General features: G+C 38.8%; 1 pseudogene; it reads right to left on the minus strand.

Annotated features, from left to right (window-relative positions):
• Positions 1-5,108: 5,108 nt before the first annotated feature.
• MRPL50P4 (mitochondrial ribosomal protein L50 pseudogene 4) lies at positions 5,109-5,803 on the minus strand (annotated as a pseudogene).

The raw sequence follows: 23,899 nt of genomic DNA on the forward strand, positions 1-23,899 counted from the left end.
GTAATGCTATTTAATATCGAGTATAACATATTGAAAGTCAAGGATAAGAGTTACAGGGTTAAGTTTACGCCAGTAAAAAATTAAGTATTTGGTACAACAAGCAAGAACTTTGCAATGTGACTGTGTAAGAGAGGGTGGTCAGGGCAGAACTGGTTCTACTCTAATAACAACAGCACTACAAGAGTATTTAAATATCACAATAAAGTTGGATGCTTTTTGTGTCAGTGTGAGGCTACACTGTATTATAATTATTGCAATTAAAATATTATACATACTTATACAAATAAAACAATTACAATTATAATTATTATTCTAAGTAATTATATGTAATATATTTGATTGTATGTGTGATATATTTAATTATATAATAAATATAAATTATATAATAAATATATTATAAACTATATAAGTAAAATTATTATTGATTTCTGTGCTACTTGATCTCAATAAAACTTCTGGCATAAATGCCAATATTGAAAACTGTGCTGTGAACACACAGAAGTGAGGACACCTATGCCAGTCCATGTTCTTCTAGTGTGCTTTTTACTCTGGAAGCAGTTTTGATGTCTTCCTATCCAGCTCTTTCTTCTATGGGTAGGTTTGGTTCATCCTGGTATTCACAAGGAAGGTTATATCTTCCAGCTGAGGGTTCCTACAGGATGGTAAAGGCCTAGAGGTAGCAGAGACTGATCAGTATCCCAACAGGCTTCTATCTCCACTTCCAGCCTTTTGAACCAAATGAAATTGACAATATTTGACTGCTTCTAACCTTCATAGAATTCAACTTAAAATTTCTACTTCGTTCTCAAGGAAAATTCCGGAAACACTTGGGTTTTGCTATTTGGACTTCTTTTTATTTGCAGTGTTCTGCTTCATTTGTAACTTGAAAAAGACAGTTCCTAATATATGAATCAGGGTTTAAGGATATGTTTTCTAAATGAAAAGAATTCCTTTCTCATACTCAAGCACTAGCTAAAATCACTCTAAACAAACATAAGATAGCTATTTGATAAATAAAGAAGGGACTGCAGTGAAAAATATCAGTAACCTCTTAATGGTAAATAATTTGAAGAAAGAGCACAAACCACCAGATAATGAATATCTGTTCAGTCATGACTAAATTTTACTTTACCTGTTAAATGTTTTAAATTATTAAATTTAACCAATAAAAATAGGCTCACACAACTCAAATAAATGCCACATGAGTTGTAGATATACATACATACATACACAAATAGCAAATGTATTTTCTAGTTTTGCCCACTGGGAGAGCCTAGAAACAGCAACATTCCAATAGTAATGAACTCATAAGTGCCCAGATCTTGGTTTCTAAATATCATTCTCCAGTACAAAGAACTAGAGATCCTTGGAGAAGTATTTAATAGTTAATTTCAGGGCTGTATCAGGGAAAACATAAAAATAAGCCTGCTTCATTTTGTGATATCAGAAAGTAAAGAAGTGCTCGAAAAAATGATGAAGATGGCTGGGCACGGTGGCTCATGCCTGTAATCCCAGCACTTTGGGAGACCAAGGGGGGCAAATCGCAAGGTCAATAGATCGAGACCATCTGGTCAACATGGTGGAACCCCATCTCTACTAAAAATACAAAAATTAGCCGGGGGTAGTGGTGCGCGCGTGTAGTCCCAGCTACTCAGGAGGCTGAGGCAGAAGAATCGCTTGAACCCGGGAGGCGGAGATTGCAGTGAGCCGAGATCGTGCCACCACATTCCAGCCTGGGCGACAGAGCAAGACTCTGACTTAAAAAAAACAAACAAAAAAAGATGATGATGAAGACATGATGAAAGGCACAGGGGCCAACCCAAAAGTGCTCCCAACAGCCAAAGTTTGAATAATTTGAACAAAATAAAGAATGATAGTTTGGGATTAGAATAAAAAGAATAAAATAAATATTCATGAGTCCATCCTGATATTAATTTTTTAATGAATAAAGAAATAAATGGGAAAAGGAAGAACCACTGTTTCTTTCAGAAAAATTCCAATTAATAAATGTAGAAAGTATGAAGAAATAGTATATCATCATTAGACTACCACAACAATAATAATGGCGGCTGGCTCAATCCACTGACAACTACTAAAATTCATGGGCAAAGATTTAAAAAGAAATAGAGTATTTGCATGGTCCCAATGTATCTTCTCCAAAATAAATACTTATTAAGTGCAAGGAAAAAACAATAACTGCACAGTGGAGAAAGGGGCAAACACCACCTAACCAAGCAATCAAGGTGGGCATCACTATTAACAAAACTTATTGACGAAGTCATATACCCTTTTAGGATGCGATGCACTAAAAAGGGAACATTGCCTTTTTGGTATCCTTCCCAAAATGCAAAACCTCAGTCTAACCTTGAAACATATTAGACAAGCCCAGATTGAGAAATGTTCTACAAAACGTCTGACCTGAATTCTTTACAGCTGTCAAGATCATGAAAGACCAGGAAAAACTGAGAAACTGTCACAGATTGGAGAAGAGACAATTAAAAGCAATGTGGGATCCTGGACAAGTTTCTGGAACAGGAAAATAAGGACATCAGTAAAAAAAAAAAAAAAAATACATATATATATATATATATATATATATATATATATATGATCTAAATAAAGTCTAAAATTATATTAATAGGATTATATCAATGTTAATTTCTTAGTTTTCATAATTGTTATGTGGTTATACAATATGTTAACAATAGAGAAGGCCGGGTGAAAGGCATATAAGAAATATGCTGAATTTATACATTTTCTATAAGTCTAAAATTAAGTCAAAATAGGAAAAGTGCAATTTAAAATAAAAGAAAATATAATACAGTATAACAAATTCTACAAGGATGTCCCCATATTTGCATTCTAGTCTCAGTAGTATCATTACTTTATTCTGTGCCTTTTGGCAAATCTATTCCCTCCCCTGGGCCTCAGTTTCCTCTTTTGTAAAATAAGGGGAAGAGACAAGATAGTCTTTAAGATTCTACAATTAATTCAAAGAGTCTTGTTCATTGTCTTAGAGTATGAGAATATTGCCTATGCTCTACTCACCAGGCAAATAATTTTAATTGATTCTCATTACAAAGAAATAAATGATTATTATAGAAAATTTGGAATATTCAGGAAATCAAATCACAGCTAATATGTTAGAATATATTCTTCCAATCCTTTATTAATGTATGCCCATATGTGTGATATGACTTTTATGAAAATAGTATCATAAAAATAGTATCATAGAATACACAATATTTTTCTTGCTTCTTAAAACTTTTCCCCAGCTTTACTGAGATATAATTGGCATATAATAAACTATACATATTTACTACATGTTTTGATGATTCTTGACATATATACACACCAGCGAAACCACAATCAGTGTAATGATTTTCATCACCCCAAAAAGTTTTCTTACATCTCTTTGTAATCCTTTTCTACACCCCTCAATGTCTCTTTTTCCTCTCCACTTTTTTCTTAAGCAACCACTGATCTGCTTTCGATTCATCTGCATTTTCCAAAATTTTACATAAATGGAATTATAAATTATCTACTTGTTTTGTTTGGCTTTCTGTAATCCCCTAATGGGTTATTCTTGCCTGCTGCACAGACAAAACCAATTCACTGAGACCATGGTATTGCAGTAAAGAAATAGTTTAATTAATGCAGAGCTACCCATGCAAAAGGACTGGAGTTATTATTCAAATTGGTCTCCCCAAGAACTCAGAGATTAGGGTTTTTATGAATGATCTGATGGGCAGGGGCCTAGGGAATGGGTGCTTCTGGTTGGTTGAGGGTGAAATATAGGAGTGTAGAAAACAGCCCTTGTGCACTGAATCCATCTCTCAGTGAGGTCCACAGTAACAGTTGAGTCATGAGTCCCAGGCCCAGATGGAGTCGGTCAGTTGCCAGAATGCAAAAGTCTAAAAAACGTCTCAAAAGACCAATCTTAAGTTCTACAATAGTGATGTTATCTATAGGAGCCATAAGGGAAGTAACAAATCTTGTGACCTCTGATGACATGACTTGAGCAGCAAGGAATTATAGAAAAGCAAGCTAGGAGACAATAGCTGGTTATCATTTAACTACATCGGCATTTCAGAAGAATTTAGGTCCCTCCCATAATTCTAATCTTGTGACCTTTCATTAGTCGTAAGAAAGGTGGTTTCAGTCTCTGAGCAAGAAGGAGGTTCATTTTAGGGAAGGACCTATTATTATCCTTGCTTCAAAGTTGAACTGTAAACTAAATTCCTCCAATGTTTAGTTTGGTCTATGCTCCGGGATGAGCAAAGACAGCCAGCCTGTGAAGCTAGAAGCAAGACGGAGTCAGCCATGCTAGACTTCTCTCACTGTCATAATCTGCAAAGATAGTTTCATTTTTTCTCTTGGCATAATTATTTTGATATTCATCATATTCTTATGTGTATCAAGAGTTCATCCTTTGTTACAGTTGAGCAATATTCCATTTTGTAGCTATAGCACAAGTTGCCTATCCACTCACCTGTTGATGGACCACTCGGGTTGTTTTCAGTTTGGGACTATTATGTAGTGAATCACTATGAATATTTATGTACAGTTTTTGTTTGGACATATGCTTTTTTTTCCCTTAGATAAGTACCTAAGAGTGGAATGACTGGGTCATACGGTAAGCGTATGCTTAACTTTTAAACTGCCAAGCTGTTTTCTAAAGCAATAACAACACTTCACATCCCCACCATCAGTGTATGAGACTTCCAGTTACTTCACAGACTCAGACACAATTGGTATAGTCAGTTGCTTTCATTTCAGCCATTTTTTAACACTTTAACCAACCTTTAATTTCAAAAGAAATTAATCTAGAATGGTCAGTAATATACAACATCGTTTTATGTTTCTTTCATAGGTATCTATGTAATACAAGTTTATTTGTATATTTGTAATATATAATAACCTATCTTAGATATGAGCCCTAAAAGGATGAACATATTTTCTTGCAACTACTACTACTACTTTATGCCTATGAAGGGTCTGAGCTTGTAATATCCTCCTGTCTCACACCCAAGTTAATGACAGTGTCCTCTCAAAGTTTTTCATAAATTATTAATGACCTAATTTCATTTAAAAAATGATTTCAGCAAATATGAAAATAGAAAATCCTATTATTCTTTATCCATTCATAATATGAGAAAAAAAGAGATGATACATTCCTCTATAGAAAAAGTGGGTTTAGAGAACAGTTCTGATAATATTTCACATGGCAAAGTATCAAAAAGCCTAAAAAGCAGCCCCCTTGCTCAGGGGGATAAAATGATTTCAATGTATTTCTCTTCTGAATTGCTTAGTAACTCCAAGTGATTTTCAAATTGGGGGGCAGATTACTGGCATTGAGTTCATAAAATTTAGATCTATCTTGAATAGGGACATTATAGAAACCAAGAACATCTCTAATCCTGCACAACTGGTGGAGTCTGGAATTAGGGACTACATGACCCAAGTCATAAGCTAAATGTGCCAAAAGATTGAACTGTAGACAACCATCTTCCAGGGAAATGTCTTGCCAATTACTAGGAAAACATGAGCCAAAAACTTATTTAACATAAAGATTCCAAACGACTCTGGAGACCTTCAGGTGGTGTATATGTTTGGCTTCGTAAGGGTGGACGCACTGGGATAGGTTCTTTTTTCACCTCTTTTACTGTCTCAGCAACCACTGGCTCTTTCTCTTTTCTGGATTGAGACCAAAATTCTCTTCAGGTGCCCCTGAGACTGTCCACATAAAGACTCTTCTGATAATGCTGGACACAGATTGCACCACCATCTTCAATGAGATCCATTTCAGCCATTCTAATGAGAGTGTAGGGGTATCTCACTGTGGATTTAATTTGCATTTCCCTAAAGTCTAAAGTTAGTAAGCCTCTTTGCATGTGCTTATTTGCCATCTTTCTATCTTCTTTGGTGAAGAGTCTGTTTAAATCTTGACCATTTTTAATTGGGTTGTCCCTCTTTTTATTATTGAGTTGTAAGATAGCTTCATATATTCTAGGTGCAGGTCCTTTGTTAGATACATGTTTTACAAACATTTTTTCCCAATTTGTGGCTCATCTTTTCATTTTTTTAACAGTGTTATAATTAGAGTTCATGCTTTTGTAGAATATTTAAAATTTTGCAAATCTATCGTCACTAAGATTTTCTCACCTGTGTTTTTCTCCAGAAGTTTTGCAGTTTTAGATTTGACAATGGGTCTATAATCTATTTTGAGTTGATTTTTATGTACGATATGAGGTAGAGATCAACATTCTGTTTTTTGGGGGGGTTTTTTGTAGTTTTTGCATATGAATATCTAATTATTGCAGAGCCATTTCTTGAAAAGATCATCATTTCCTAATTTGCTTGTCATAGCATCATTACCAAAAATAGGTTTCTATGTACTGATCATTTCTGGATTCTCTGTTTTGCTTCATTGATCTTTGGTTTATCTTGACACCAGTAACACATTGTTTTGATTACTATAACTACCTATAATAGTAAGCCTTGAAATCAGGTAGTGTTAGCCATTCAACTTTGTTCCTATTTTTAAAATTTTGATTTGACTATTCAAAGCCCCTCGAACTTCCATATATATTTTAAATCAGTCTGTCAATGTCTACAAAGAAAAGCCTTCTGGAATTGCAATTTGAGTGTGTTGAACCTATAGATTACTTAAGAGAATGTTGTTTTAACAATATTATGTTTTGACTCATGAACATGATATATATTCCCCACTCAACTAAGATCTTCTTTAATTGATCTCAGCAATACTTTATAGTTTTTAGTGTACAGGTCTTGCATATCTATTGTCAAATTTATTTCTAAGTATTTCCTGTGTCTCGATATTACTATAAATGATATTTTGATTTTCAATTGCTAATTCTTAGTACACAGAACTATAACTAGTTTTTGTATATTGACCTTGTATCCAACAACCTTAATGAACTCATTTATTATAGCAGCTCTTTTGTAGATCCTGTAGAATTTTCTAAATAGATAATCATGTTGTCTCCAAGTATAAGGCAATTTTACTTCTTCTTTTCCTGTGTGTTTGCTTTCAATTTCTTTAATTTCCAAGCAGCTTTGCTCTCACTGTCTGAATTGATAAAAATGTGTGTGAGGTTTCATGGGTCAAACAGACATTGCTCGAAGTAGTTAGACTTAAATCATTTTACTGGAAGCCACCCAGAGTCTCAAGTACAGAAGGAAACCATGGCAGCAGCAGGATATGAAGTGGATGGCCTGGCACAGGAGCTGGGAGCAGGGAAATTGAGGGTGATTGAACTAAAGCCAGACCTCCAATGCCAAGGAACCAGCCCTGAGGAGGCTTCCGCCTTGGAGCCTCTACCCCCATGAAATCGAAAATTTAGACACTCGCCATCCAGTGGGCATCAGTGATCAGGCAGTCAGTGTTGGACAGGGAAGTATCAACAACCAACAGAACAACAAAACCAGTTAGTTAAATAAGGGACTCTTGTCCTCTTCCTCCCTCCTCTCTGTTCCAACACAATGAAGGGTTTGAGCCCAGCAGAGGGGAGTAGGAAGGGTTAACTGAGTTCATTTCCCCACCCACCCCCGCGGTAAGGGAGACAAATGTAGAATAAAAGATTACATCATGCAACGTCTACCCTGACACACACATATACACAGCAGTCCCTGGAGCCACAAGCCTTTCCAATGATAGAGAGAAATTTTTAAGTCAGTTAGGAGATTAGAATTTCAAAAAGATCAGATTTCCAATAATCAAAGTGACCAGGAAATTGTAAAATTTTCCTAAGTTGTCATTAAGGGATCTGCTATCCAGCATGAAAGGGAGGTTCAACATAGGTCAACATGGGTCAATGGGGGGCTGTGACAATTGAAAAATAACAATTCAATGTTGTACTCCAACCAGTTAAAAGGTTAATAATCCAGATGTATCTGACTTAAATATGTATCTCTATTAAATTAGTTGACTCAGTATAAATAATGAATTTATCTGGACAAAACTCATTAAAAAGACCTTCCTGCTTGATGCTAGAACAACCTTTGCCAAAGTGGCGGACCCTGATATGGTTTGGCTGTGACCCCACCCAAATCTCATCTGAAATTGTAACTCCCACAATTCCCACATGTCATGGGAGGAACCCGGTGGAAGGTGATTGAATTATGCGGGCGGGTCTTCCCTGAGCTGTTCTCATGATAGTGAATGAGTCTCAGGAGATCTAATGGTTTTAAAAATGGGAGTGTGCCTGCACAAGCTCTCTTTTGTCTGCCACCATGTGAGAGATGTGCCTTTCACCTTTTATCATAATTGTGAGGCCTCCCCAGCCATGTGGAACTGTTAAGTCCAGTAAGCCTCTTTCTTTTGTAAATTGCCCAGTCTCAGGTATATCTTCATCAGCAGCATGAAAACAGACTAATACAGACCCCATGCCCTGGGACCCATTGAACAGGGCTGGAGGAAGCAGCTGCAAGCTCTAAAAGCAAGTAGTCTTACAGAATGAGAAGATTTAGGTAAAATGCATTTGTTGGACCTCTATCCCCTTAGCAGTAAAGTGAAAAAGATTGCAGTGTATTCTCTCTGATCATCTTAGCTCCACTTTCTTTGCTTTTATAAAATGGCCAATTAATATTTTCCTCCTGCTTTTACATGTTTGGGATTTATCTCAGAAAGAATCATCCATTCCTCAAATACACCATGCCTATGCATGCCTATGAACTTCAGCACGTTTCTCCCTTGCTTCTTTCCCACTCACCACCTGGAAAACACTCCCTCATCCTTCAAGCTCAGCTTCTGTGAATCTTTCTCACCCCCTCCCCATGTGAGAATGTCTGCTGCCCTCCTCTGATTCTCACAGCACTCAGTTTATTCCTCCATGTAAAGAGTTTTTTTTAAGATATTGAGTCATATCTGCTGTCTTCTCTTTAATCCATCCCTCCTTTCTGTAGAAAACCCAGCTTCCAACCAGTTTACAAGCAATTCTCCACGATATAAACTTTAGGTGATGGAAAAACAAAAATAGTGAAAGTGATCAGAGAGGCTATGCTGATCTATTATAGTAGAGAGATAACCTGAGAGGGAACTGGAGAGCATCAAAGAATCCTGCATGAGCCAACTTTGAGGTAGAATTTGGGGGAGTTTTCAGTGAAAGAGGAAAGAGCTTTCAACAAATGGTGCTGGAATGGTTAGATATTCCTATGCCAAAATGGTACCTCTGTACCATAGCAGCTTTGCAGATGTGAGGCATGCAAGTAGGAGAGGAAGAAGATGTTTTGTTACATTGTATAAATGAGATTGCTTTTGGCATTGTTTTTTTTTTAATTTTTGTGGGTACATAGTAAGTGTATATATTTACGGGTTGCACTGGAAATCTTTTGATACAGGCATACAATGCATAATAATCACATCAGAGTAAATGCAGTATCCATCACCTCAAGCATTTATCTTTGTGTTACAAACAATCCAATTATACACTTAGTTATTTTTAAATGTACAATTACATTATTTTTTACTACAATCACCCTGTTGTGCTTTGGCATTCTTAAAGAACCTTCCGGCTGGGAGCAGTGGCTCACGCCTGTAATCCCAGCACTTTGGGAGGCCGAGGCAGGCGGATCCACGAGGTCAGGAGATCAAGACCACCTGGCTAACACGTGAAACCCCGTCTCTACTAAAAATACAAAAAATTAGCCAGGCATGGTGGCGGGCACCTGTTGTTCCTGCTACTCAGGAGGCTGAGGCAGGAGAATGGCATGAACCCGGGAGGTGGAGATTGCAGTGAGCTGAGATGGCGCCACTGCACTCCAGCCTGGGCGACAGAGTGAGACTCCATCTCAAAAAAAAAAAAAAAGAACCTTCCATAGAGTTGAAATTGCTTTTCAGTCATTATACACTTAAACTATTGTGCCTTTGAACATGATGATGTAGTGAGGTTGGGGCTTTATTCTGGTGACATCTGTCTCGTAAGTCTTAGCAACTTGAACTTTTTACTTTCATGTCTGTTCCCTTCTTTTAACCCTCCATTCCCGCTCCACACTCTCCTTGAGAGCAAGCACTTTGTCTTATTTATTCATTTCTCCTTCCCCAAGACTAGAATTTGATGACAGCAGTGACTGAACGATTCCCCTAGAAAATGAGACTTTTTCTGGAACTCTACATACAGTCCACAATGGGTTCTAGAGGAATTGCCTGGGAACTCACCAAATGTATACACAGGGGAAGGTAATATTGTTAGGATGCTTGTCCTTTCCAAATCTCATGTTGAAAGGTAACCCCCTAGTGGGAGGTGTTCGGGTCATGGGGGTGGATTCCTCATGAATGGCTTGGTATCATCCTTGTGGTAATGAGTGAGTTTTCACTCTGTTAGTTCATGTGAGAGCTGGTTGTTTAACGAGCCTGGTTCTCACCATGTGACACCCCTGCTCCCCTTCACCTTCCACCATGATTGTAGGCTTCCTGAGGCCTCAGCAGAAGCAGATGGTGGTACCACGCTCCTTGTACAGTTTGTAGAAGCATGAGCCAAAATAACCTCTTCTCTTTATAAATTACCCAGCCTCAGGTATTCCTTTCTAGCAATGCAAAACGAACTAACACAGAGGCCTTAAGGGCTCTGGAGTCAAAATGTCTGGATTCTAATACCAGTTCTGCCACTTAGGAGTTGTGGGACTTCTAACTCTTTAAGTCTCTCTAGAGTTCCCTCAACTATAAAATGGTGGCAATCATTGTGCCTGCAACATAGAGTTGTTATGAGAATTAAATACATTAACATATGTTAAATACTAAGTACAATGCCTGACACATGCAAGCATTCATAGTATAGAGAAAGATATATAAAGACATACTATATCTATTTATATTCAAATATATACAAACATATTCAGCTTCTGTTCTAAACCCTCCCTTAAAAATGCCCTTAGCTTCTAGATATGTATATATTAAATCTGCTATTTAATATATTATGTATATGTATATTAATATACACAGACATTTTATTTCTATAAAGAAAGAAACACATCAACAATAATACCATCACAATTATTTATAAGTATGTTTAATTGACTGAAAGAGCATTAGGCACATGAAATCTGAATGTATAAATCACTTTAAACTATTAATGTAACTCATTTTGCATTATACACATATCTGTCAGGCAAAGGTTAATAGAGAGTTTATGAAATTTGGAATGCAATTAAGTCTCACAGGAATCTCAGCGGGAGGCCATGCCAGTTTCTATGGCAACCAAAGGGCTCAGGCAAGAAGTGGGGGAGGGGGAATTAATTTAAAGGCAAGATAAGCACATAAATATAGCTCTTGCCTACTTTTTCTTCTGCACTCTAATAAACAATCCTTTCTGCCTTTAAATTATTATGCATACTCAAGTGTAAGTCAGATTGGTTTTTCATTTCCTAGAATTAAATACATTTTCCCAAATGTTTAAAGGTGATTTCAGTTTTTTAAAATGTATCACTTCTCTGGATATCCAGTTTATAAGTGTGTCAGGTGTAGTCTCAAATTCCTTGGGGGAAAAAAGGAGAGGAGATAAAAAGAGCAGGACAAGATGTTGAAGAGGATTAGGGGATACTGTGAATAACCTTCTCAACACCAGCTAATGAGGCTGTACTTAGGATCTCAGAGTTGCAATCAGACCAAAGGGAGAAAATGTGGCCACAAACAAAATTGGTTTTCCTGTCACGAATTTTATAACATCACTGAATTGAAGGAGACTTTAGCGATCACCTAGTCAAAAGATTTGATTTTATCACCAAAAACACTTAGCTTAAGTAGTTAACTAAGCACAACTATGGCTGGAATTCAGGAATCTCAGACTCCTGACTGCAGCTTGCTTTGTGTTCCATACTCCACTTTATTCTCTTTCACTTCTTTCTTGTATGTAGAATTCAGCAACGTTGTTAACCATTTTCCATCACAAGTAGTTTCCAACTGTTGAATTTCCTGATATCCAGATTACTGCGTATGATCTGATTTGTTTTTTAAAACCAGATGAATCTTATTTTGGTATACTCCACCTAAGCTCTTAACTTGGTTCACATTTGGCAAGTAACTTCCACTTTGCCATGAACATTGGTTTATGGAAGTTCTACAATTGTTCGTCTGTTTTATGCTGTCAAGCCAGCAGCTGCGTGTTCATGGGCAGCAACATGCACCTGTACGTGCCCCATGCAGTCTTTATAAGGACAGACTGAAAAAGAGAAGCGTTTGGGGGAATTCCCATAAGAGACACAAGATATTGACAAAAAATAGACATGACAGCTCTTCCAAATCCAAGTCTCTAAGAGGAAAACTAGCAAGTGGAAGTCATCCTCCAAGCTTTAAAACTGTGTTTGGGCTGTATTTGTTGTGGAGTTATGAGGACCCCAAGATTTTGACATAGTAAGGAAGATCAAATTGCCAAAAGAAAGAACCAACTGTGATGACAGTGGTTGGAGTGAAAACCTCAGGCTCACTTGGCTGAATCTCTTGTCAGGAATCTCTCCCAACCGTCCAGTGATTGATCAGCTCTGGTAAAGCTGGGCTGGCTTGAAAAGTTTCTGCTCTGTGCACCTTTCCTCAGCACCAAGGTCATGGAATATTTGAGATTACTATGGGAAGCTGGTTGGAATGAACCAACCCTTGCTCTGGTGAAATTGAGAGTCAAGAACACAAGACAGCCAAAGACTCTTAAGAAAATCCTGTTGTATAGTCTCAAATTTTTATTCTGTGACCTCAAGTTATTAGGGGAAGAAAAAAATGTGATAAGGAAAAATAGAATAGTGTGTAATTCAGCCAGCATTGTTAAAACAGTGAGTGCCTGCTACCTTCCCAGGGTTTAACAAAATCTGTTGTTTCTTTGTTTCAAATAAATAAAATAGATAAATTCTGTAGTGGAAAACTTATGGTGACTTCTCTGGGTCTCTGCCCATGTGTAAAAAGGGTGTTTGGTACAAGTGAGGAGACAGACAGCTGGACTAGAATCCAAATCTCAATCTCAAAGACTGAGAAAGGATATCAAAAGTTCAGATCAGATGTTGACCTTACCAATCTCTATAAGCCACAACTTCTTTCTTCTCATTCATAAAATGGGAACTATCCCTGCCAAGCCTACATCACAATGTTATTATGTAGGTAAAATAAAATTGTGATTGGAGATTTTTTTTTAATTGTGACAGGCACCCTGGGTGTAGAGATACTGTTTGCCCTCCCTCTAATAGGGACACTTGTGTTTTATTATTTATTTATTTATTTTGAGATGGAGTCTCACTCTGTCACCCAGGCTGGAATGTAGTGGCTCAATCTCGGCTCACTGCAATGTCCAGCTCCTGGGTTTAAGCGATTCTCCGGCCTCAGCCTCCCAAGTAGCTGGGATCACAGGTGCCCACCACCATACCCAGCTAATTTTTGTATTTTTAGTAGAGACGGGGTTTCACCATGTTGGCCAGGCTGGTCTCGAACTCCTGAGCTCAAGCAATCTGCCCACCTGCCTTGGCCTCCCAAAGTGCTGGGATTACATGAGTGAGCCACCATGCCCAGCCAACACTTATGAAGGACACTTCTCTACCCACAGCCTCTACTGAATAGACGGCCATGGTTTTTCATGTGACCATATCAATTTTCACATGCCCACTCAGTCCCAGATGACACAAAAGGCTGCTACTCTAACATTTGGCCAAAGATCTTTGTGGCCTTGCTCAAAACAATAAACTGAGTCAATCAGACTAAATTTCCCAGAAATTTGAACCAAAACACATGGAAAACAATTTGTGTGTGACCGGTGGGAACTGTAGCTAAAAAAATCCGAACAGACTGAGCAAGCTCACGTTAAGAGAAACAGAAAGCATGAGGAAGGAGGAGTCAGCTGGTAGCAGGACAGAAAAGAGACGTGAGGAGGGGAGCCAAGCCCACCGAGAGCAAAGCGCAGAACTGGAGACCCAGAAGCTGCTGCCACCAGGGTTCCGAGAGGCCTCCTGGAAACAGCAGGCACCAAATCTTGCTTATCCCACATTCTGGATAGTTCTCTCCAGTTCTTCCACTGTCACCTGGGTCCATTATTTTAAAATTAATTAATTAATTAATATCCTCCCATTATTCAACATAAATTCTTAAACTCACTTCACAAGAGCTAATTTGAGTAGGTCTCTGCAACCAAAGAGTCTGAAAAATGGTTGCTGGTTAACTGACACTCACTCTTGGCTTATAAAAATGGCTTTGTTCAAGTGTTATAGTAACAGTTTATCTGAGTGCCTAGACCTGATAAGTTTGTGTATAGCCAAACAGGCAGCAACTTGGTGAGTGGAGCCTGATTGATCACAGATGTTCTCCCTTGCAAGTACAGCCCTCTTCCCTGCCCCTGCCCATACCCACACATACCCCTATACAATTTCTTCGAGTTTCTGGCATTAGTATGTCTTATCCTGGACACGGCATCTTATTTTCCCCATTTGGGAAGGTAACACATTAGTTAGCTAACCCATTAAAGGTATTTGTTTATATGATCAGACCTTTTCCTGTCTGTTAACACAAAAACCGTACATGAAATAGTAACTTAGGGATGCAGGAATGACTCAGTGAGGTTAAAGGGACTGTAGAAACCAGGTGAATTGCCAATGGCCAAATAAAGGTCCCAAGAGAGCAGGAACTTGGTTTTTACCTGTGGATCAGATATTACCACAATCCACAGAAAAGGCACAGAAAAAAGCATTGTAGAATGTTAGAACCAGAAGAGACCTCTGAGATCACCCATTCCATCCATCTAAGGGTAAGAAAATGGGCACGGCAGGCAGGTCCCATGACTTATCCAATACACATCATCATAATAAAAAGCCTTATGAGCAGAGATCAGAGAGAACTCAAGAGCAGAACCTGCTTTCCTGGCTGAGACCCTCCCCAGTGCTATCTCATTCAGCCACTGACAAAGTTTTATCAAGATCTTGAAGGCCAACATTTTGGAAATAAGACTTCCTGAAATATCTCTGCATATCTCACCTACCTGAGGACAGTGGCATTCTAAAAGTAGAAGCTTGTTGCTTGAGAGGGACTTATCAAGACTCACACAGGTTCTGTAATGCCACATTTCCCAGCCTGACCTTTCACAACCAGGGACACAATCCAGGGTGATTTGCAGGGATTGACTTATGTTTACACATAGATAAAGGTCAACGAAGCAAACTGCGGAACTTCTTTTCCAGTTTCTACTTTTCTAGCTTCAGTGGAGCTGCCTCTACCATACCTTATTTTTAGTTTGAGAGAAAAGCAGCTAATGACCATGAACTTTCTGATTTTCTGATTTGAATCTCCCACTCAGCCTCTGCTGATAATTGATGGCTCTTGGAATTTTTTCTCTGCTTTCATTCTCTCTTTGCTTTCATTCTTTCTCCTTGTAATACTCACAGGATGGTGACTCTTTCCTACGGCTGCTCCATTTTCTTGCCTTCTCTATGTCACTCACACAATATACAAAGAGATGTTCTCACTTGGCTCTGCATTCTCAGGTTTATCCAGTAATTGGGTCCCTAAAAAAGTTTTCTGAGTATTTCAGGATACTTTCCAGATGGCTGTGTGATTCATACTGTTAACTATTGAACAATTTTCATTGTTCCAAGCTTCTCTCCAAAAAGATTTTAAGGTATAATCCTTCAGACTTTCAGTTATAACAGCATCATAATGACAATCATGAGTAATAAATTGCAAAATTTCCAAGGCAATTCTCCTGATGAGTTCTGAATGAGTCCTTGTATTAGGCCATTCTTGCATTGCTATAAAGAAATACCCGAGACTGGGTAACTTATAAGAAAAGAGGTTTAATTGGCTCACAGTTCTGCAGGCTGCACAGGAAGCATAGCACTGGCATCTGCTTCTGGGGAGGCCTCAGGAAGTTCTTACTCATGGCAGAATGTGAATCAGGAGCTGGCACATCTCTTGGCCAGAGCAGGAGCAAGAGGAAGAGAGTGGGGCGGGAGGAGCCACACAGTTTTGAACAACCAGATCTCATATGAACTCAGAACAAGAGCTCACTTACCACCGAGGAGATAGTCTGTCATTCATGAGGAATCTGCCCCAATGATCCAAACACCTCCCACCAGGTTCCGTCTCTAACACTGGGGATTACATTTCAACATGAAATTTGGGTGGGGACAAATATCCAAACTATATCAGTCTTTAATATTATTCAGTAATATCTTTCAGGTCTCCCGGAAAACTTCAGTTGCCTTTGCAAAGTTATGCACTAACTATTCAGAAAGCATGCCAATATTGCAATGTTAACTGCATTGCATTCCATAAATGCAATGCTGGGTATGCTTCACTGCAGTCTATTTCTGTGGCAGTTGATGCTTGATGGAATGAAACCAAAATGTTCAGTCGTTCTGAGGAGCACCAAACCTCATGGGACAAGATATTTAACTTTTCTGAGTCTTGATTTTGTTATTTTTTCTAAATAGTGGGGAATTTCAAAGTTCTCTGAAGTTCCTTCTAGCTCTGTAATTCTATCATGATGAGATGAAGGAAGAACTTTAGAATCACATAGTGCATAAAAGTCATTATTCAATTCAATAAGTGTTTATTGTGAACCCTAGGGCAGAATACCAGAAAAGAATCTATGAGAGAAAAAGGGCTAAATAGGACATGATCACTGCCCTCTGCTTTGCCCCAGCCTAAGAGAGAGGAGGGATGGGGTGGAAATCATCAAACACAATGTGTTCACTCAAAACGGCATCATGGGGAAGCAGCAGTGGCCCAGACTGGGGTAGCTGTACCTCTGTGACTGCATCCCAACTTGACCCTCTGGTCCCGCTGATGTGTAATCAGTAGCCATGGGGTTGTAGCTGCAAGTGGAAATCATATGACACAGAGCGACATAGGGTGATACCTTCCTGATAGATACTCAAGGATTGCAGAAGACAGAACAACAAATGCATTTGAGAAATCAGTAAAATTTGGAGGCAGGGGAAACAATCGTTTCCCTCATCTATAACTTGGCTGGTTGTTAAGTTGTCCAGCAATAAGAATAGCCAGGGATATGACAGGAATAAAGAGTACTATAACTCAATTTGGAAGGAAGAGGAGGTGGAGGATGAAAACAGCATGAAATCCTGGGGAAAAGAAGACTATTATTAGAGGGGGGTGGTAACCAGTGATCTGAAGCAGCAGATGTCTGATGCCTTTGAACGTGATGCCCACTAGGAGTCTGTGGGCACCTTCAGTGAGCACAAGACCAGCTGAACCTCCGTGCTAAACGCTACTGATGCTCACTGCCATCAGCTCACTGCATCTTCCCAATGGCCCTGAACAACTGATTGCAGCCATGAGTCCCAATAAAAGAAGAAGAAAATACACACTGAATGAAGTTCAAGCATACAGCTGGGCAGCAGGTTGCAAAACTGGCTGAAGGATAAGCCCCCAACCAAATCACTGCTAACCCTTATCTAAGTTCCCAGGAATCCTGGAGCTATCTCCTTATAAAGAGCAGGTCACACAGTTCCAGGATTTTCATCTTACCAAGGTTATCTCCATCCCAAGCCAACAGATCGATGTTAACCCTATGTCAGTTTTCTAGTCTCTGAAACTATTAGATCATTGAAAAAGTGCCCCTGGAATATCTTATGAAATGCTGTGGTTGTGGATTTTCATGCTGTTACCATATGTGGCAACAGAAGCTGAAAGATTCATATACACATGGTCTTCATTACATCTCTGTGAGAAAATCTTGGAATCACTGGACTGCATCCTACATTTCTCTCTGCTTCCATATCCCCACTTCCCATCCCCATTTCTGAATCAGGGGCAGGGTTGTGTGATACATTTACTTTATTCTTGTATGAAATACAACAAGGAGAACTTGACTCCCCAAAACCCTTGAAGAAGTGACATAGCCATAAATGGTAAGTGCTGAACATATTTTGAGGGCCTGTGTTGGGCAGATGCCTTTAAGCTTCTATGGTAAACATAGACTATGAAGTTTAGCCAACACCTTTGGCAATGTCTTTCCTAGGAATCACTCCTGAACAGCAGCACATTCTTTTAGACATGGATGTAACTACAGGCCTCCTGAAATAAAGATCTAGAAACCATCTGGGGTGACAAACAAACCCAGATTGGATTGAGACCTGTGGGCCATGTGAGGCTGTGTGCAGGGAAGGGGGAAACAGTCAGAGGTGACCCCAGCACCTTTCCAATGGTGCAAGAGTTGGAGGGCACAGGGAAAGAGAAAAGGAATCCCAGGAAGGTTTCTTTCTACTGTCTTTATAGACGTCATCTCACCACTTGTCCTCCCTTTTCCTGCTCCCCAGAGAAATAAGAGGGAAGCTGTAGTCTAGAAGCTTATGTCTCCACTGACAAAGGCTCAGGCACAAATGCGACTACTCAGAGACTGTCCAAGGAAGGAGAAGAGGGCAGGCCTGAGAGCTGTCCCCTACGCAACAGCAACATTTAAGGAGCTGGTGAACCAGGAACAGAACACCTAACTAACCGAAAAAGCCCGGCCAGGTGGTCCAGGCACAGCCAGAGGGAATGGAAAGAAGAAGCAGGTGTGGGCCACAGCATCACTTTCCACAGGGGTCCTGGTGACTGTAGATGACTTTCTACTGAAATTCACATTACAAAATCAATTAACCTTTGGTCAAGACTATGCTTAAACTCTAAAGGAGAATTTTGCATTTGAGGTAATATATAAGTAAAAGGTCAAAATGAACTATTTGATGCAATGGAATGGGGAATCTACCCTTTGTATATTGTGACAGTTGTTTATGTAAAAAGTTGTCATTGAATTTAATTCGGCAGTTTTTCCTCCAGTATTTTATTACGAAAATTGTAAAACAGAAAAGTTTCTTTTTGGGGGGTTGCTGAGTTGGGAGGTATGAACCTGAAGCTTTTGGTGATTGTTTTGCTTGCCAACTACAGAATGCCTGCACACAGAATGAAGACAGGAAGAGAAGAGAAGGGCCAGGGAAAAACAGAAGGCCAAAATAGGGTCCTGACAGTTATTGTTTGAGCTCTTGAATCCATCAGGCTTTGAAATTGGGTTGAGACCTATACTTTGTTTACCTGAATCAAAATTATTTTCTTTTCTTGGGAATTTATTTTTTATTTATTATCTTTCTTTTTTAATTATACTTTAAGTTCTAGGGTACATGTGCACAATGTGCAGGTTTGTTACATATGTAAACATGTGTCATGTTTGTGTGCTGCACCCACTAACTCGTCATTTACATTAGGTATTTCTCCTAATGCTATCCCTCCTGCCTCCCCCTACCCCATGACAGGCCCTGGTGTGTGATGTTCCCCTTCCTGTGTCCAAGTGTTCTCCTTGTTCAGTTCCCACCTATGAGTGAGAACATGCGGTGTTTGGTTTTCTTTCCTTGCGATAGTTTGCTGAGAATGATGGTTTCCAGCTTCATCCATGTCCCTACAAAGGACATTAACTCATCCTTTTTTATGGCTGCATAGTATTCCATGGTGTATATGTGCCACATTTTCTTAATCTGGTCTATCATTGATGGACATTAGGGTTGGTTCCAAGTCTTTGCTACTGTGAATAGTGCTGCAATAAACATACATGTGCATGTGTCTTTACAGGAGCATGATTTATAATCCTTTGGGTATATGCCCAGTAATGGGATGGCTGGGTCAAATGGTATTTCTAGTTCTACATCCTTGGGGAATTCCCACACTGTCTTCCACAATGGTTGAACTAGTTTACAGTCCCACCAACAGTGTAAAAGTGTTCCTATTTCTCCACATCCTCTCCAGTACCTATTGTTTCCTGACTTTTTAATGATCGTCATTCTAACTGGTGTGAGATGGTATCTCATTGTGGTTTTGATTTGCATTTCTCTGATGGCCAGTGATGATGAGCATTTTTTCATGTGTCTGTTGGCTGCATAAATGTCTTCTTTTGAGAAGTGTCTGTTTATATTCTTTGCCCACTTTTTATGGGGTTGTTTGGTTTTTTCTTGTAAATCGTTTCAGTTCTTTGTAGATTCTGGATATTAGCCCTTTGTCTGATGGGTAGATTGCAAAAAGTTTCTCTGATTCTGTTGGTTGCCTGTTCACTCTGATGGTGGTTTCTTTTGCTGTGCAGAAGCTCTTTAGTTTAATTAGATCCCATTTGTCAATTTTGGCTTTTGTTGCCATTGCTTTTGGTGTTTTAGACATGAAGTCCTTGCCCGTGCCTATGTCCTGAATGGTATTGCCTAGGTTTTCTTCTAGGGTTTTTATAGTTTTAGGTCTAACATTTAAGTCTTTAATCCATCTTGAATTAATTTTTATACAAGGTGTAAGGAAGGGATCCAGTTTCAGCTTTCTACATATGTCTAGCCAGCTTTTCCAGCACCGTTTATTAAATAGGGAATCCTTTCCACATTGCTTGTTTTTGTCAGGTTTGTCAAAGATCAGATGGTTGTAGATGTGTGGTATTATTTCTGAGGGCTCTGTTCTGTTCCATTCGTCTCTGTTTTGGTACCAGTACCATGCTGTTTTGGTTACTGTAGCCTTGTAGTATAGCTGGAAGTCAGGTAGCGTGATTCCTCCAGCTTTGTTCTTTTTGCTTAGGATTGTCTTGACACTGGGGGCTCTTTTTTGGTTCCATATGAACTTTAAAGTAGTTTTTTCCAATTCTGTGAAGAAAGTCATTGGTAGCTTGATGGGGATGGCATTAAATCTATAAATTACCTTGGGCAGTAGGGCCATTTTCACGATATTGATTCTTCCTATCCATGAGCATAGAATGTTCTTCCATTTGTTTGTGTCCTCTTTTATTTTGTTGAGCAGTGGTTTGTAGTTCTCCTTGAAGAGGTCCTTCACATCCCTTGTAAGTTGGATTCCTAGGTATTTTATTCTCTTTGAAGCAATTGTGAATGGGAGTTCACTCATGACTTGGCTCTCTGTTTGTCTGTTATTGGTGTATAGGAATGCCTGTAATTTTTGCACACTGATTTTGTATTCTGAGACTTTGCTGAAGTTGCTTCTCAGCTTCAGGAGATTTTGGGCTGAGATGATGGGGTTTTCTAAATATACAATCATGTCATCTGCAAACAGGGACAATTTGACTTCCTCTTTTCCTAATTGAATACCTTTTATTTCTTTCTCCTGCCTGATTGCCCTGGCCAGAACTTCCAACAGTATGTTGAATAGGAGTGGTGAGAGAGGGCAACCCTGTCTTGCGCCAGTTTTCAAAGGGAATGCTTCTAGTTTTTGCCCACTCAGTATGATATTGGCTGTGGGTTTGTCATAAATAGCTCTTATTATTTTGAGATACATCCCATCAATACCTAGTTTATTGAGAGTTTTTAGCATGAAGGGCTGTTCAATTTTGTCGAAGGCCTTTAACAGACAGAAAAGTTTTAAAATTTGTTGGCCGGGTGCGGTGGCTCATGCCTGTAATCCCAGCACTTTGGGAGGCTGAGGCGGGCGAATCACAAGGTCAGGAGATCAAGACCATCCTGGCTAACACGGTGAAACCTCGTCTCTACTAAAAATACAAAAATTAGCCAGGCGTGGTGGCAGGCGCCTGTAGTCCCAGCTACTCAGGAGGCTGAGGCAGGAGAATGGCGCAAACCTGGGAGGTGGAGTTTGCAGTGAGCCGAGATCACGCCACTGCACTCCAGCCTGGGTGACAGAGCAAGACTCCATCTTGAAAAACAAGAAACAAAAAACAAACAAACAAAATTGTATGGTGGACATTAATATACCTAACACTTAGATTCTACAATTGCCAAGCATTGGCTACTTTTGTTTCATTCACATATGTATCTACTAATTTGTTTTATTTTTACCCACTTTTTGAAGATAGAATTTATACATCATAAAATTTACCCATCCTAAGTGTACCTGATTAGTTTTACAAAAACTATACAATTGTGCAACCATCACCACAATTAGTCTCTGCTCCCTCTCCTTGCCCTAGCCAACTACTGATCTTTTTGCCTCTACAGTTTTTGCCTTCCCCAGAAATTTCATATAAATGGAATCATACACTATGTATCCTTTGGTACTTGGCTATTTTTCAGTTAGTATAATGTTTTTGAGGTTCATCCATACTGTTTTATGTATTTATTTTCATTGCTGAATAATCTTCCATTGTATGGACATAACTACATATGTTTATTTCATTAGTTAATGGATATTTGTTAGTTTTTTTCAGCTTGGAGCTATTATAAATAGTCCTACCATGGGTCTTTATGTAAGCATATATAAGCATGTATTTTTGTTTCTCTTGGGTAGCTATCTGGGGGAGTGTTATTACTGAGGCACATGGTGCTTGTATGTTTAACATTTTAAGAAAGTACCAGGTGTACCATTTTACAATTCACTAGGCAATATGTGAGGCTGCCGGTATCTTCCTCACTACTACTTGGTATTGTCTTTTTTATTGCAATCATTTTAGAGGGCATGAAGTGGATCTCATTGTGGGTTTAATCTATATTTCTGTAATCACTAATGATAATGAGGATCTTTCCATGTGCTTACATGTGCTAACTTACTATTCTTTTTTCCTTTTTTTTTTTTCTTGGTGAAATATCTGTGGAAATCTTTTTTTTTTTTTTTTTAAGAAGATGTTGTTCTGCTGCCCAGGCTGGAATACAGAGAGTGCAGCTCACCATGTCCTCAAACTCCTGCACTCAAGCAAAGTTCCCACCTCAGCCTCCCAAGTAGCTAGTACTACAGGTACACACCACCATCTCTGGCTAGTTTTTTATTTTATTTTCATTTTGTAGAGATGGTGTCTAGCTACATTGCCCAGGCTGGTCTTGAACTCCTGGCTTCAAGCAATCCTTCTTCTGGGATTACAAGTGGGAGCCACCATGCCTAGCCTTTGTCTATTTTTTAGTTGGGTTTTCAGCCTTCTCATTACTGAGTTGCAAAGGTTCTTTATATATCCTAAACTCAAGTCCTTTATTGGATATACAATTTGCAAATATTTTTGCCCAGTTTGTGCTTTGTCTCTTCATTTTCATAATGATTTTTTTAAATAATGAAAGTTTAATTTTGATAAATTCAATTTATTACTTTTTTCTTATAAGGGTTGTGCTTTTGGTGTTTTAAGAAGTCTTTACTTAAACCAAGATCACAAAGATTTTCTTCTATAGTTTTTCTGTATATGTTTTATAGTTTTAGGTTTTACATTTTCATCTATGAGCTACTTTGAATACGTTTTAGTGTGGTGTGAAGAAAAGGTCTAAGTTATTTTCTAACGGAACAATATTCAATTTTTAACACTCTTCCTCCAGCTTTGGCCACTTGCCCTCTGCTGTTTGTTCCAGCCAGACTGACAGTCCTTTGATGCATGAGCAGCCATGTTCCTTCTCACCTTCTGGATTGATCTGTGCCAAGTCTCTTTGCAGAGATACATATTCATCTTTGGTACCTGTCTTCTTCCACTTGGCTAACCTCCACTTACTGTTCTGCTTATTAAAGTACGCAATCACTTTCTAAATTTCCTTCACCATCAAATCATGAGCTCTTAGAATAGAGACTCTTAGCTGGATGTGGTGGTGCATGCCTGTGAGTCCTAGCTACCAGGAAGGCTGAGGAAGGAGGATCACTTGAGCCTAGGTGGTCAAGGCTGCAGTGAGCTGTAATTGCATCACTGCACCCCAGCCTGGATAATAAAGCAAGATCCTGTCTCTTAAAAAATAAATTAATTTTTTTAAAAGAAAATCAAAAAGAAGAGAGACTCCATCTTTTTTGTTTCCTCCATATCCTCAGACCCTAGAGCAGTGCTTGGCACATGGTAGGTCCTCAAATAACTTCTGTGAATGAGAGAATGAAAAGGTCCTTCTGGATTAATGAACAATAATAATTTATTTACTTGCCATTCCCCATGAATGTCAAGCTGCTTGCAGTTCAGAGACTATGTTTTATTTAATTTCATGCATTCAGTGTTCAGTACATGCCATAACACATGATAAGTGTTCATGAATATTTATT

The sequence above is a fragment of the Homo sapiens genome, chromosome 10 (assembly GCF_000001405.40).
Source record: "Homo sapiens chromosome 10, GRCh38.p14 Primary Assembly".
NCBI lineage: Eukaryota > Metazoa > Chordata > Mammalia > Primates > Hominidae > Homo > Homo sapiens.